A 17,190-nucleotide genomic window follows, 5' to 3' on the forward strand; every position below is an offset into this window, starting at 1 on the left:
CCTTGTCTTTTTCTTTGCTGTTAGCCATACCTGGACTCCTCAGAGGAGGCAGCTACAAGTGGAGAGGGGTAGATTATAAGAATAAGATGCACAGTATGCAGCCTTCATTGCTAGTGGTTGGAGGTTGTTAAAAAAGAGTAGAAAAGGATAGAGGAAGGCCTGTGAAGCTCGTATTCTGCCGAATACAAAATATCAGCCTTCTGATATACTGGTTCTGTCTTTTCTCTCTCTTATTACACTTAGCTGCTTTTAATTAGTTGGTTCCACCATTCCTTTCCCACCACCTTTGTTTTTTTGAGTCTCACTCTCTCGCCCAGCCTGGAGTGCAGTGGCGTGAAGTCGGCTCACCACAACTCTGCCTCCTGGGTTCCAGCAATTCTCCTGCCTCAGCCTCCTGAGTAGCTGGGACTACAGGTGTGCACCACCATGCCTGGCTAATTTTTGTGTTATTAGTAGAGATGGGGTTTCACCATGTTGGCCAGGCTGGTTTTGAACTCCTGACCTCAAGTGATCTGCCTGCCTCATCCTCCCAAAGTCTGGGACTACAGGCCTGAGACACCGTGCCGGGCCCTTTTCCTCTTTTTAGGGGTCCAGGTTCAGGCTTAAATTACTATCCTATCTCTAGTCTTCTCTTCACCACAAAGCTTCTTGAAAGAACAGCTTATCTTTATTATTACAACTTCTTTCCCTCTCATTTAGATGGTTCTTGAGGAAATTCATCTGTGGTCAAATAAATGTGAAAGAGTGCTTAAATAAAATTAAAGGAGTTTCTACATTGGAAGATTTTAGATTTTTTAATGCATTAATGCTTATTGTGAGTCTCCGAGTGGGGAAGACTTCGAAGAAATATAGTGTAGGGCTGGGTGCCATGGCTCATGCCTGCAGTCCCAGCACTTTGGCAGCCCGAGGCAGGTGGATCACCTGAGGTCAGGAGTTCGAGACCAGCCTGGCCAACATGGTGAAATCCTGCCTCTACTAAAAATACAAAAATTAGCCGGGAGTAATCCCAGCAACTCGGGAGGCTGAGGCAGGATAATCGCTTGAACCCAGGAGGTGGAGGTTGCAGTGGGCCCAGATAATGCTACTGCACTCCAGCCTGGGTGACAAGAAAGAAATTCCATCTCAAAAAAACAAACAAAACAAAACAAAATATATATATATATATAAACAGCTTTTCCCCGAACTTAGTCAAGAACCTACTTTGTGCCTGAACGCCACCAAGAGGGTTTGGCTTAGGAGGCTCTCAGTAAATAATTGTTAATTAAACTATGTCCTGAGAAGGACAATCTGGGAAACTGGGAAAGCTGGTTAAGACACCCATTTTTCTACACCCAGGTGCCTGATTCATGCTCAGTAGCAGATGTCTAGTGATGCCTGTTGAATGGATGAATGTATGCAGGATTCAGGAGCACCACTCTGTGCAGAGGTCTCAGATGCCTGTTCCACAGAACACAGGATGCAGGCCCATCTATTAGGTTGGTGCAAAAATAATTATAATAGCAAATACCCCAATTACTTTGGCACCAAACTAATACAAACACTCATTCCATTCTAAAAATATCCTAAGACAGAGTTAGCTTCAAGGGATCGTGACCAGTGCAGTCATATACCTCTCACCTTCTTGTGCTGAGAAGGACCCTGAACTTGGGTTAATGCTTTGCTGTCACTGTCTTGAAGTATTTGATACTTTTTAATCAACAGATGCCACATTTTCATTTTATACTGGGCCTCACAAATTATGTAGCTGGTCCTGCCCACAGTGTCCCTTGGAGTGCTCTTCAGCTCTGTCTTAGTGCCGCTTGCTTTCCCAAGACAAGCCATGAGCTTATCTAACAGTCTCCTTGATTGAAGGACCTCGCCATGGCGTGTCCAGCATCGGAAGCCCTCTTCAATTTCCCTTCACCAAAACCCAAGTTCTGAATGTATTCCTAATGCCAGGAGTTACACTCTCTCCAGCTACCACACTGAAAAGAACAGATCACTTCGTTTAGATTGAAGCGTTAATAGCATAGTAGATATGAAGTGTTATGCCATCTCCCATCTCCAGATTCAATAAACTTTAGAAAAAGATAATTCTTTTAAAAGAATCCATCCAAGATTAGCTCTTTACTAGCAGTATTTTAGACATTCGCTATACATTTTAGCATCCTCCATAGATAGATATTTTAAGAAGCAGCAATGTTTTGTCCCTCAAATTGTACTCTTAAGGCAGTTGCCGACAACGTCACTCCAACTATTCATAAAGGAGCTCTCATTTATACTAAAAACTGTTTTAAAAATTATGGTGTCCCGTTGTCATTGCATTTTGTTTTTAAGAGGTGGAGTTTTGCTATGTTGCCCAGGGTGGGTGGCCTCGAACTCCTGGGCTCATTTGTTTAAAATGGCAGAGTATTATCAAAGAGATATGTTTTTGTCAAGAAGTTTTACAATAAACATATTCCAAAAGCCTATTTACTTTTCTATAAGATTGATAAAGATCAGAGAAATAATTAGAGATCAGGCAAATGTCCCAGATTCCAATAGGTCCATTTTGTTACTTCCCAAGCTACTTGACTTTGGACAAGTTACTCGCTATCTCGAATTCTTTGGTTCCTCATTAAAAAAAAAAAAATTAGGCCAAGATGCTTCTTTTCCTTCACTTGGGTTTATTTTGGGAGTTAAATAAGTCATGTGCTTTGAAGACCATGGTGAAGAGTCCATGATTAAATACATTCTGTATGTATTAAATACATAGTGCATTCTGGAATCTCTGGACAGATTCAGAGCTGAAGGTAAGGATAGCCAGGAAAATCGGAATTTGGGGACAAGGTTTGAACAAGTGATGAAGAAAGATATGCTGCAAGTGCATAACGGTAGACATTTGGATTGGCTGAGACCAGTTTTCCCTTTACTGCCATGAGCCAAAAACATGGTTAATGGCAGCAGTTAGCCACACATTGGAATTTTTAAAATGAGGTATGATAGGAAAAAGCTGAAGGACTGGAACAAGAGGCAAGAATAATGTGGGAGAAAAAGAAGTAAGATGAGGTGAAACGAAAGGGATAGGTTTTCTGTTCTGCTTTTCATAACAACTAGAAGAGTGTACAACAGAAGGAAGAGACAAGAAAAGGAAAACATATGTTGATCCTGTGAAGGAAGGAGGCTGGAGGAAAGACCTTTCAAAGGAAGGTTCAAGGAGAGGATCTGTTTCATAAACAACAGAAACAGCTGCTCAGAAAGAATGCAGAAAGGGTCTTGATGAAGAAATCAGAATGATTTTGATGCATATATTGGCAGTCATTCAAACTCAAGGGGGTTGGGTGCCTATAGGCTTCAGATCAGCAGAGAAGTTGGATGTGTTTTCAAGATCCTATCAGAAGTGAAAAGACAAGACCTCTGGGAAGACCTTGGTGGTGACGGAAGGCCAAGGCTAAGGTTTCTGACCATTTGCTTTAGGAAGGAAGGAGCAGATAGAGGAGGCATTGTGATGTGGTTTAAAAAAATGCATTTGTAATTCCATTCAAAACTAGAGGACAATTTGTTAGACCTGAAAGGGGAATGTGACTGGGAAGTGGAACCCAAGGTGGAGGTCAGGCTATGAAAGTGGGCAGGGGAGGTGGGAGATGGGAGGGTGAGCAGGCAAGAATTAATGGTAACATAACAAGAGCCAAGAAAAAGAGCAAACCAAGCCTGTTTTTCAGCACGTTCTTCCAAATAGGATCAGAACAGGTGTTGCTGGAGGCCAGCTTGGTTTGGAGTCACTTTAGATCCATGCATGTGTTTGGCATTCATGGAGTTCTGGCACTAAACAAGAACACAGGACTCCAAGGTATGAACTGGAGTCCCCGGGTGATTTGGGGTCTCAGGTGGCAGCCTTGTCTACAGAAGCACAAATCAGGACAGATGAAAGTCAATGTGGGAGCAGCTCTGGCTGACTGAGTGCTGCTTCTCCCCCTCAGAGTTAGGGCCCCTTTCCTGTGTGAAGACAGGCCCTAAAATTTGAAGTGAAGCAACTGATCCTATTCCAGCTGAGGTGGACTACACAGGATGGAAGGCAAAGGAATATCAGGAGATTAAGGCAGCAATTATAAGAGGAGAAGGGATAATTGGAACTGATCTTTTTTATGTACCAAAAGAAAACATTTTTGGAAGCAGTTACATGTGGGGTGTGGTAAGAGGGAAGCAGGATTGGGGGGTAAAGAGAGGATAAGCAATGTAGGCTGAGTGTTCTACTAAATACATTTCAGGTTTAATGTCATTTAAATGTGGCTGAAGTCCTGTGAGTTATACATTACTATTTCCAGTTTACAGGCACATGTTAGGTTCCTTGCTACGTATAGTGATAACAACTGTGGAAACTTGATTGAATGCTTATTACACACCAGGCATTTCACATAGGTCATATCATCTTTTCATCCTTACAATAATAATAGGAAATATATACTACTATTACTCCAATTTTCCAAATGAGAAAACTGAGGCATGGAGAAGGGTAGTAACTTGCCCAAGGCCATACAACCAAAAAAATGGTGGAATCTGGGATGTAAACTCAGGCAGGCAATCTGTTTCCAGAGCCCAGAATGTTAATCGCCATGATGAACTGCTTCTAGAGTTTACATGCTAACAGAAAGAGAAAATAATAAAGAAAGAAACAAACATAGTAGAAAACAAACAGGGAAGATACGGTTAGAAAGACTTAGAGGCTACTGTCTAAAAAGGAGACAAGAATGTTACAGATGGGAAGGGAAAAACTAATCTGGATAGGGAAATTTGAATGTTTATTTTTTTAGAGGTAAGAGAAACTTCACAGATAATTTTAATAATAAAGATGATAATAACATAACAAACATTTATTGAGGGCTTACTATGTGCCAGACTCTATTCCAAGTGTTTTACATATATTATCTCATTTTTCAGAATAATCTTCTTGTCTTTTTTATTGAAATGCCAGGACATAGCACATAGTGCTCAAAGCATATTTGTTGAAAAAAAAATCTCGAAAGGTAATTATATGGCCTGGCACGGTGGCTCACACCTACAATCCCGGCACTTTGGGAGGCCAAGATGTGAGGATTGTTTGAGTCCAGGAGTTCGAGACTGGCCTGGGCAACATGGCAAAGCCCCAGCTCTACAAAAAATACAAAACTCAGCTGAGTGTGGCACACGCTTGTACTCCCAGGAGGTCAAGGCTGCAGTGGGCCATGATCACGCCACTGCACTCCAGCTTGGGCAACAGAGCGAGACTCTGTCTCCAGGAAAAAAAGAAAGGTTAGTGTATAATTTTATCTTTTTAGAAAACTCTAGGTCATAGGGCTGAAGCTCAAGGGAATCAATGCCTGTGTCCCTCTTTGTTTTATTACTTCACAGCATTTATTTCTGTCTGAAATTATCTTGGTTTATTTTGCTTGTTTATTATCTTTTTCTGCTAGCATATAAATTCTAAGAGAGCAGAAAATTCTTGTTTAATGCTGTATTTGCAGCATCTAGACCAATGCCTAGGCATATGAGGTGATTAGTAAACATTTGTTGTTTGCTGTTTGTTTTTAGAGACAGGGTCTCACTTTGTTGCTCAGGCTGGTCACAAACTCCTGAACTCAAGGGATCCTCCTGTTTTGGCCTGCCAAAGTGCTGAGATTACAGGCGAGAGCCACCATACCTAGCCAACAAAACTCTTGTTCCACTGTAGTACACTGAATTACTGAGCAGAGACGCCTGCTGCTCATCATTTTGTGCCTTCTCTGAAGCAGCATCTGTCCACTTTCTCCATCACTAACTCAATCGTCCATTTACCCAGGCAGGCTTAGTTGTGGAGCAAGGAAGAAGAGAAGTTTCTTGTTTATCTTGTTTTCAAAACAAATGGAGATTATAACAAAGGTGATCAAACCATATCTCTATAAAAATGACTCTTCCATCTCACCCTCATAAGGATGGCTACTATCAAAAAAAGCAAAGCAGAAAATAAAATGTCAGTGAAGTTGTGGAGAAACTGGAACCCTCCTGTGTTGTTGGTGGGAATGTAAAACAGTGCAGCCACTGCAGAAAATACTATGATGGTTTTCTCAAAAAATTAAAAATAGAATTCCGTATGATCCATCAATCCCACTTTTTGGGTATATACTCAAAAGAATTGAAAACAGGGTCTTGAACAGATATTTGCATACGCATGTTCATAGCAGCAGTATTCACAATAGTCAAAATATGGAAGCAACTGAAGTCTTCATCAATTGATGAATGGATAAACAAAATATGTGTCCTAAAATGGAATATTATTCAGCCTTAAAAAGCAAGGAAATTCTGACACATGCTACAACATAGATGAACCTTGAGGATATTATGCTAAGTGAAATAAGCCAGCCACAAACAGACAAATACTGTATGACTCCACTTACGTAAAAGGTGCCTAGAGCATTTAAACTGACAGAGACAGAAAATAGAATGGCAGTTACCAGTTGGGCTGAGAGAGGAATGGGGAGTTTTTTAATGGATACTGAGTTTTTCAACATGAACAGAATTCCAGAGATTGGTTGTACAACAATGTGAATGTACTTAACCCTAATAAATTGTCCACTTACAAATGGTTAGGATGATAAATTTTGTCATGTGCATTTTGTCACAATTTAATAAAAGGATTAAAAAATAACTTTGGGAGCCAGATGCAGTGCCTTTCACCTGTAATCCCAGCACTTTGGGAGGCCAAGAAAGGAGGATCCCTCGAGCCCAGGCATTCTAGACCAACCTGGGCAACATAGTAAGACCCTGTCTCTACAAAAAAAAAAATTACAAAAATTAGCCATGTGTAGTGGTGCTCGCCTATAGTCCCAGCTACTTGGGGGGATGAGGTAGGAGGACCACATGAGCCCAGGAAGTCTAGGCTGTAGTGAGCCATAATCACACCACTGCACTCCAGCTTGGGTGACAAAGTGAGACCCTGTCTCAAAAAAATAATAAATAAATAAATAACTTCAGGCCAGGCATGGTGGCTCATGCCTGTAATCTCAGCGCTTTGGGAAGCCCAAGTGGGAGATTCACTTGTGGTCAGGAGTTGAAGAACAACCTGAGTAATGTAACAAGACCCCATCTCTACAAAAAACTAAAAAAATTAGCCAGGCATGGCGCACACCTGTAGTCCTAGCTACGTGCGGGGGCTGAGGTGTGAGGATTGCTTGAGCCCAGGAGTTTGAGGCTGCTGGGAGCTGAGATTGCACCACTGCACTCCAGCCTGGATGACAGAGCAAGACCTTGTCTCAAAAAAGAGAGAAAAAAAGGCTTTTTAATATAATGCATATACTTAAGCATTTTACAAGCATCTCTACAGAGATTTAGGACCTTGGAGCCTGAGATGTTTATGCATGAAGTCAGGCTGATGAGATCAGGCTGTGAATGAAAACAGTGCTCTGAAGGCAAGCCTCTGTGACACTCACCTATCCATACGAAGCTGGCAGACAATGCTTAGTGCATCCACAACTCCTTCTTCTTTCAGCTGTTGACAGCCAATGGATGTAGCAATAAAACACCCTGTTCTACCTATTCCTGCACTGAAAAGAAAAGAAAAGAAATTTAAAAAGTGGGGGAAAATGACAAAGATAAGAAACATTCTTTTACAAGGGTACTTTTAAATCTGAAACCACAGTTAAAAGTAGTATTCACATATTGAGTATTATAAACCTGGCCCTGTGCTAAGTGCTTAAAATATATTTTTACATTTAATTATAAGTAGTAGGATGAGAGGGGTGGGGGGAAGTGGTGAGTTGGGGGAACAGTAAAAAGGCATTATAATTGTTCTAGAAAAAATAAAAAATAATTAAGGTCTGCACTTAGGCAAGATACAGGCAGTAGAAAGGAGGGGGAAGATTTAGGCACATTCCCAGTGTGAATCTGAAGGACTGGAGCTGAAGAGGGAGAAAAGCAAAAAGTCAAAGATGACTAGGCCTGGAGAGAAAGAAGAATGGTGATGCCCTGAGGCCAAGTGCATGCTGGAATAGGGTGAATTTGAAGGAGGCAGGGAAGGGGAGTTTTGCCTTGGACATACTGATGTTCAGAAGTCTAGTGAATAATTGAGCAATTGAAGATTGGATTCATTTTAGGAGAGGGTGCAGCTAGAGGCACATATTTCCAAGAGATTTGTATAGACATGATAATTGAACAGAAATGATGTCTGTCCTGGTGGGTTTATACATTCAACTGCCTTAGACGATATGTCCATAAAATCAACCTCACAAGCACACGTGCTCTCTCTGTCTCTGTCTGCAGTTTTAACCACTAACAGTCTCTATGTAAAAGATTCTTTCAAATCTACATCTAGACTCCCTAAATTTCCTAAACTCTAGATTGTCATTCCATCTCCTCCTTACTATTTTGGACTTGCTTCAGTTCAATGTATCTAAATTCAATGTATCTAAAACAGAATTAATTATCTTTTCCCTCAATGGCATTACCAGTCTGCCACAAGTTTTCCAGCCTAGAAGTCTTGGAACCATCTTTTACATCTCTCCCTTTCTCACCTCCCACATCCAATCTGTTACCACTTCTTCTATTTTCCATCTCTGCTGAGCCTGTGGGATTCATGCTTTCCTTTCTATAGACTGTAATCACGTTTTCAACATCTCCTTTTTTCATGATTAGCAGTGATCTCATTATAGTTTCCAAGTCTCAAGTCTTTTCCTTGACAAATTCGCACAGCTGCTAAGTTCATCTTTCTGAAATAGGGACTTAATTATATCATTCCCTACTCAAAACCTATAGATGGCTCCATTAACTATAGCATAATGTCTAACCTCCCTACCATGGTATTCATGACCTTGCAAAATCTGAATGTGACTAACTTTCAAGCCTTATGTATTTTGCTGTCTTCCCTCCCGTGTGCCATGATTTTCACTTACGTCAATTGTTTGGGCTTTTGGTTTTCCAATTTTTCTGTGTTAACAATGTTTTCTTGGTCAGAAATGCCCTCCCTCCTTTTAAAACCACAACATTGATTATTTCAAAAGGCTCAGTTCAGCATTATTCCAATTTTTAGAGGTTTTCTTCAGCTCCCATGGTTGGAAATAATTGCTCCCCTCTTGGCACTCAAATAGCACCTATTTCTCACATTTGGCACTTGTTTTCTGTTGAATGTGAGTGCAGAGGAATTCAGAGGAGTGGCTCTCTTTTAGCTGAAGTGTCCACAGAAAGTTCATTTCATTGAAGAAATAGGATTGGAACTGTGCCCCATGAATGGCAGGTATTTTGGCTGTTATAACTGAGAGAGAATATTCTAGGTACGACAATGATATACAATGAAAGAAGAAAAGAATTAATGAGAAACAGCAAATATGATTTGCAACAATAAGTAGAACAGCTTGTCTTGAAGAGAAAGTTATTTTAGTGGAACTATGGGAAATAAAGATAGAGAGGTACCCTGGGATCTTATATGGAAGGCTAAGTGGTTTGAAATACATCCTTTTTTTTTTTTTTAAGTAAGAATTTGATGAAGACTATAAGCTTCCACTCTTCAGAAAAATTCACATAAGTTTACATACTCAAATGTGTCCAAATAATTTCAAGGAGTTCACTGACCTCTGCGGTTTATGGATAGGTTCAACGTTAGGGACTTTTGCTCTAGTTTTTTTTTTTTTTTTTTTTTTTTTTTTTTTTATAAGACAGAGTCTTTCTCTGTCGCACAGGCTGCTGAAATACAGTGGCGGGATCTTGACTCACTGCAACCTCTGCCTCCTCGGTTCAAGCGATTCTCCTGCCTCCGCCTCCCAAGTAGCTAGGAGTACAGGCACATTCCACCACGCCTGGCTAATTTTTGTATTTTTAGTAGAGAGGGCGTTTCATCATATTGGCCAGGCTGGACTTGAACTCCTGACCTCAAGTGATCTGCCTGCCTCGGCCTCCCAAAGTGCTAGGATTGCAGGTGTGAGCTACCGCACCTGGCCCATTGACAAGCTTTGAGCAGAGACTCCATGTAAGGTGAGACGGAGAAAGGGCACAGGTAGGCCATGGTGGCGGTGAGAGCATGGGGGAATGCGGTATGTGTGTGCATTTTACCAGCTACTTCTAAAATACATGGATGAGGTCAGAAGGGCCTGAACTATGGTGGCTGGACAGGAAATGGTGATTATGGGAGAAGCTTTGAAGGGAAAGCCAATCTAGTGACTGATTAGATACTGATGTTGGAGTTAAAAGGAGGACCAGAGATAACTGTCAACATGGGATCCTGAGTGACTGGAAAAAAGATAGTCTCATTCTCAGAAATAGTAATCAGAAGGGGAGCTGGTTTTATAGGGGAAGTGACTAGTTCATTTTAGATATCCTGAGTGTTTAATGACTTTGGGTGGGGGACAGTTCCAGCCCTAACGCATAGTCAGTTAGGCTGTTTTTTTGTTTTTGTTTTTTTGGCTCCAAGTTAAGTTTAGGATAAAGCCAGTATTATCTACCTTTGGATAAATAGACACATAGTAAACTTTACTCTTAATTAAACCACACAATCTCAAAAAAGGAGGCTAAAATTATACTCTAAAATAATATATTTATTAAATATATCATCAAAAGCTGACTTAAGAGACCTATGCGGTTAAACAAAGCAACCCAAATTATTTTGAGAAAGCATGAAGAATAAATGGCTGGCTGGGCATGGTAGCTCACACTTGTAATCCCAGCACTTTGGGAGGCCAAGACAGGTGGATCACGTTTGAAGTCAGGAGTTTGAGACCAGCCTGGCCAACATGGTGAAACCCCCGCCTCTACTAAAAATATAAAAATTAGCCAGGCGTGGTGGTGCATGCCTGTAATTCCAGCTACTTTGGAGGCTGAGGCAGGGGAATCACTTGAGCCAAGGAGGCGGAGGTTGCAGTGAGCCGAGATAGCGCCACTGCACTCCAGCCTGGGTGATAGAGTGAGACTCTGTCTCATAATAAATAAATAAATAAATAAATAAATAAATAAATAGTTGTTCATATAAATTACTTTAAAAATGCTGCCTTCAGTTTGGTTACATTAAAAGGAAAATTAGGGGAAGGAGGTATCAGTTTTAGGAAGAGAGCTTTGAACTAGAAATTAGGGACAGGAACCAGCACAGACCCTGCTGCTGTTGTTGGCTTGGCCTCTAGTGCTCCATGTTCTGGTAACAGCACTTTGTTTTCCTTTGGTGACTTGCTCACTTCTCATTTCATAAATTTGTTTCAACCTGTTTTTCTGGAGATAACTCTTAAAATAATTGACTGGTTTTCACCAAACTTGAAATAGTAATGTTACCAAGATACAAGCCAAGCAGAGTTCACATGTCATGTTGAAACAACAAAAAAGCCACTGATAATTTCAAAAAGTGCATCTTTATTCCTGGTGTGTACAAGACTGATGAGACTAAATCAATCAATATAAGTTTCAAAGCAGATAACTGCTGAATAGGTCTCCTGTTCACTGAGCCATTTATTACGAACTTGTATTTCGCCGACTGTGTAATTGTTGTTTGTGAAAAATGACCTAAAAGCATGACTTCACTTCTGTCAGCATAATCTTGATTCAGACTCAAATATTACAGACTTAACCAATTTCAATAAATATTTAATTTGCCAACAAAGTCACATCCAGGAAGCAAAACCCACTTGCACCTGCTCTGTGACTTTACAAAGAATGGGCCATTGCTTAGACAGAAAGGACCATACACGTCTTACCTGCAGTGGACAACCACAGGCCCTCGGCCCTGGGAAGCAAGTCTGTCTTCTTCTACATCCAGCATGAGCTGTAGGAGGGGCTGGGCACTGTCTGGAGTCTTGTGATCAGGCCATGAGGTGTACCAGTAATGCTTCACATGTTGGGTGTGGCTTCCTTGCTGAAAATAGCAACAGCCACCAAATGCCTCATTCACTTGTAGAACTAAAAGTCATCCAAACCACAATACTGAATGCCTTTTATCACCCCCATCTTGCTGGCAATTTATTTCTAGGTGGGAAAAAAATTTAGAAGATTTTTGAAGAGTGCCCTTTTACTTTGAGAAGACTTTACTGTCAGTAACCTGTTTGCAAAGTGAGAAAGTCATACCTTTGTTGAGATTTACATCTCTACCTATAGTTATAATATAGATCATATAAGTAACATATGCTAAATATATATTTATAATTTATTATAATAAACAAGATGGTAGGTGAAAATGTAGCCAAGAAAGAATGAGATATATTTTGTTTCCTGCTCTATGAGCATTCCTGACAAGTTATTATAAACATGTTAATCAATAGAACACTTAATTTCATATCAGTCATGCTAATACTTCTACACTCATCCAAAACTCCAGTATTTAATAGGAGTGAGGAATCACAGCAATAAAGAAGCTACATGAGATCCCTCTATTGGAAACACTTGGGTGAGGGCCCACACACCTCATCTCCAAACCCAGCACGGGTGAGGGTGTGGCATGAACCTCGCACTCCAGAACATGTGTTGAAAAATAAGTTTTGGTAAATGCCTTCCTATTCCAAACTTCCCCGGCACTCCAGAACATGTGTTGAAAAACAGGTTTTGGTAAACGCCTTCCTATTCCAAACTTCCCAACAAAAGCCATCACTGTAGCTCTGCCCCTGTTTTCTTCCTCTTTGTGATGATTCTATCCCAGCAGTGAGGCTGCAGATAAGATCGAAATTTTTGGGTGATTATTCTCCAGAAGCAAAAATAATACCATGGTAACATTTCTCAGCATCTGCTGCCCATGAGTTAAATAAGATAGTTTTCCTATGACATAATCTCGTCTGGGGAAAGTCCCTATAAATTACTGTAACTCCACGCTTCTGAAGATCTCATCAACACTTCAGGCTTGCCTTGCTTCCCACTGCCACCCACAAATGCAGATTTTCTCTTTCACAGCTTCCAGGCCTTACGCAAAGCTGCTTAGATCAAAATGACATTAAAAAAAATCATGGTAAAGTCTCCAGCACAGCCTTTAGTTAAAAGCTTTCAAAAGGTTAAATCAGAGATATTTTATTAACGCAAATTAGAGGATCACAACATCCTACATAATGAATTTTCTTAATGTCTACTTACATTCATTTAATTATACTGCATATTAATAGTAGTTGACAACAAAAAATACATGAGGGAATGATTATAGTTTCTCTTTGATCTTAACATTATTTAATTTGCTTAAATTGCATTTGTAGTACTTAAATAATTTCAAAGTAGAAATGTAATCCTCTAACATCATCTACTTTGTAGATGGCTATAGCTACATAATCTTACCTTTAAGACAAGGTTTCGAATGGTGTAGTTATCACATTCATTTACACTGATAACCAGAACCTCAACTTTTCCATATATCCCTCTCTTTTCCGGCCAGTATAGCACACATTTCTGGAGGAAGGGAAAGAGAATACAGCAAATATTAATGGCTTTTATTAGCCATGGAGTACTTTTCATTCAAGCATCTCAAGAGTTTTATATCATTAGTTTTAAAATATCAAATATCAATTTTTATAGTTTTGTAAATATACTAAAACCATTGAATTGTAAATCTTAAGCAGCTAGATTTTATGGTATATAAATTATATCTCAACAGTTTTTTTTAAAGTATCAGTTTCATATGTGCCTATTAAACACTGTCACTGCTGGCTCCATACAAAAAAAAAAGGCAGAATTACCCAAAACTCCTCAGAGAAATTAAGAACTAATTAAGAAGTTAAGAAATTTAAGAGTTAAGAAATTGAGATCCAAATATTAGAATTTATCATGTGCTGACTAGAAATAAAAGAATGTTTTCCCACAATAATTGAGGAAAGTTACATTTTCCTGCTTCAACAAACTTATGTCTAATGAGAATATCTAATATGTTAGGTGGCATACAACCAAGTTTCCTTTATATGTAAGGCAGATATAATGATCATTAATACAACTATGGTATTATATTTTCCCGGACCAACAGTTTTTTTCACTTATGGAACTAATTTACAAAAATTACGTTAAAAATATTTTTATAATGGATCCTCCTGAGGAGCTTTAAAAGAGTGACAATAATTATACTGCAAGCAAGGCAACATAGCATGGTGGTTAAGGCGCAGGCTTTGAACTCGGAACCTGAGTCCAAATTTTGGTTCTACCATTCATTACCTGTGAATCCACGAACAAGATACTTAAACCCTTTGGTTATAGTTTCTTTATTATTGGCTATCTGGAAAGTACTTAGGATAAAGCCAGGCATAGAGTAAGCACTTACAACATGTTATTATTGCTGTTGTTATTTTAAAACTACTGGGTGATAGGTTTTTGGCCCAAAGTGATTAGATCTTCATGCATTAAATATTATTTTGGTATTATTATAGTCAGTTATCATTATTAAATAAAAATTGCAAAATGAGATTCAAGCATACATATAATCTCATTTTGCTTTTTAAACAACTGTAAAATAACTATTTTTTACCACAAATTTTGATGATAAAGAATGTAAAATGACAAATGTTTATGTTTTATTTTGAGTGCTCTTGGAAGCAATGTTAATTTTAGAAATGTTTAAATAGCACTTATTTTCTCCCAACCATACATACATTTACATAGAAATTCTTTCATTTGTTGCCTTCAATCAGAACCTTTTAATACCCAGGACACTTGTTTCTTCACATCTTTGTCAAAGGCATATGAATACACTTGATAAAAATTTAAATACTTATAGATTTAAAAGAGCAGCAAAAGACTCACAAAATTATAGAACTGAAGGAAAAGTGACACAAAGTATCAGAAACACACCTCCAGGGCTCTATTATGCTAAGTACCACTACTCTACAAGCTAGCACAGCGAAGGAAGTCACTTCACCTAGCAGAATCAGTTTCTTTCATCCATTACAATAAAAACACATTTACATCCTCTACATTTTGACCCTTTTTCTAAATGAAGTAAATTGTTTCAGCTTTATTTACATGCCACCTGAGACTCTCAGGCTATCAGACCAAAAGACTTACTCTGGCTGACTTAATGTTAACATTAAGAGAAGAAACCTTTTTAAAGTAGAGCAACTCATTTCTCTCGAAATCTATGAGTTGCCAAATGTCTAAAATTTTCCCACTTTGTTAAAGGTAATCATACAAACCAATTTGCCTGGTTTCTTTCAATGAAGCATCAATTATTTCGCTGTAAGACCCGAGCTACTGTGTATCTTAAAACCCATGCCTCCCGATGAGTCCAAGAAGAATGACAAAGAATCTTGGAAAAGGTATTGAACAAAGAAAGAGGCATTCATTCAGTAGTCCAGCAGTCTGGCGTACGTGCCCCATTGTCCACGATCAGACCTGAGCAGCAGGGCCCTCTTTAGGAAGGTGGCTCTCAAAACCAGTAAGAAAAGCTGCAAAGCAGGAGCTTGCCGCCTGCACCCTGACTCTTAATACTTGCACAGGCTTCTGCACCTACTTGATAAATGGAAATGCTGCTCGCTTCTCTCCCAAGCTTGCCGGGGGCCCTCTTGAATGTTTTTTTTGACTCGTTACCAAAAAAGCAATTGGCAGTCAGCTCCCAGTAGACAATGCAATGTGACTTGTTCATTCAAACAACCCTTAATTAGCATCCCATCTCCTTTCTGAGATACAATAGCTTATTTTTACACACTGAATACATTTTTCCCTCATTTAGATGACAGAAAAAGAGACCAGATAAGTGTGGGTACTTTTGAATATGAGGTGGGGGACAGCTGCAAATGCAGTTGTTTCTAAGAGTACAAGTTCATGTTCAAATTATTTTCCTGTACAGCTTTTTAGGGTTTCTTTATTGTGGTGCTAACAATGAGATAAAAGAGGCAGAAAAGGCAGGGAAGAAAAATGCTGCCTTACAGATAATACTGTGAAACCACACTAATTGTAGGTGATTCAAAATAGCATGCTATTTAGCAGAATATAACCCCAAATCATCACTATTCTTTTGCTAGCTAGGCTTATCCTTTCAGTAAAATTATCTATTAATTCTAAGAATCCATAATTTGGAAGAAAAAAATAGGTTTCCAGAGGACAGTGTCTCTTGTGCAAACAAGTTATTATCAAACTCTGACTGAAAAGATTCTGGACATTAACCAGTGCTTTGTAACTGGTGGTTTACAGCAAAAGTAGGATGTAACACAAAGCAATGCAAATTCTTTTTTTTTTTTTTTTTTTTTTTTTTTTTTTTTTTGTGATGGAGTCTCATTCTATCACTCAGGTTGGAGTGCAGTGGCACAATGTCAGCTTACTGCAACCTCCACCTCCCGGGTTCAAGCGATTCTCCCGCCTCAGCCTCCCAAGTAGCTGAGATTACAGGTGTGCACCATCACGCCCAGCTAATTTTTGTATTTTTAGTAGAGACGGGGTTTCACCATGTTGGCCAGACTGGTCTTGAACTCCTGACCTCAGGTGATCTGCCCACCTTGGCCTCCCAAAGTCCTGGGATTATAGGCGTGAGCCACTGCGCCCGGCCGCCAGCTCATATTTTTGTGATCTTTTTTCTTCCCTTGATTCTCCTTCTGGCCCCCACCAAGTTAGGGCTATGTGAGGAGGCGGTCTAGCTAGTTGTTTAGTTGCCTGAAAAAAAAAAACCTATTTTTAAGTTATTTTCTTTTTAGTTTCTATATATTTAAATATCAGAGATATTGCTCTATAAGCTAAAGATCTGTATCATCACATAGAATGTGGCTCTAAGTAAATAAAATCTTCATACTTAGCTTCATTTGGGTTATATTAATACATGAGAGGGATAGAATGGGTCAGGTTGTCTAAAATTATTATTACTATAGCTACTTTTATTCCTGGTGCTCCGATGGAATATTACTGACATAGGCTCAGAGATTTAAGTACCTTCACCAACATCATATCATTTAGCCCCTTCCACAATCCTTTGAAGTAGGTAGGGTGGGTAGCAGGTATTATTATTATTTAAATTATTTTTCAGATGAGGACATGAAGGCTCAGGTGTTTTGGTAGGGGAAAATTGCCTTGGGGGGCTAGAATTTTCCAAGAAAATATCACTTTATGAATGAAACTTTCCATCTTTGATTTCCACACTGACTCTTAACCAATGCTACTTAACCACAGCATTGACCAATGACCTGTTCCCTCTGTCAAATATGTTGAGGCACATGCAACCTTGCATAGTCTTGGTTCACTCTCCTACTGAGCTCAGTACTTCTGTTACCATCTTTTGATCTCTGTGTTCCTCAAGTTGTTTTTATACCAAAACACCTTTATGGCAGGTGTACTTATTATTGAAGTCCAGTAATTTAATTACATATT

The 17,190-nt window shown here is 39.3% G+C and overlaps 1 protein-coding gene across 8 annotated transcripts in view; it reads right to left on the reverse strand.

The window, feature by feature from the left end:
- PTPRR (protein tyrosine phosphatase receptor type R) overlaps positions 1 to 17,190 on the reverse strand; it is a 282,666-nt gene that overhangs the window by 11,231 nt on the left and 254,245 nt on the right. For 6 of the 8 annotated variants that reach the window (NR_073474.2, XM_011538615.3, NM_001207016.1 and 3 more), the window contains 3 exons: positions 13,192 to 13,302; positions 11,637 to 11,794; positions 7,401 to 7,514 (listed from right to left, as the gene is read on the reverse strand). Coding sequence is in view for 7 of the 8 variants with exons in the window: in XM_011538615.3 (XP_011536917.1) it covers positions 7,401 to 7,514; positions 11,637 to 11,794; positions 13,192 to 13,302 (383 nt within the window). In the remaining variant the exon portion in view is untranslated. Of the gene's footprint in view, positions 1 to 7,400; positions 7,515 to 11,636; positions 11,905 to 13,191; positions 13,303 to 17,190 lie in introns of those variants that run through there. The other 2 variants (XM_047429235.1, XM_047429233.1) reach the window with 2 other exon arrangements.

The sequence above is a fragment of the Homo sapiens genome, chromosome 12, assembly GCF_000001405.40.
Source record: "Homo sapiens chromosome 12, GRCh38.p14 Primary Assembly".
NCBI lineage: Eukaryota > Metazoa > Chordata > Mammalia > Primates > Hominidae > Homo > Homo sapiens.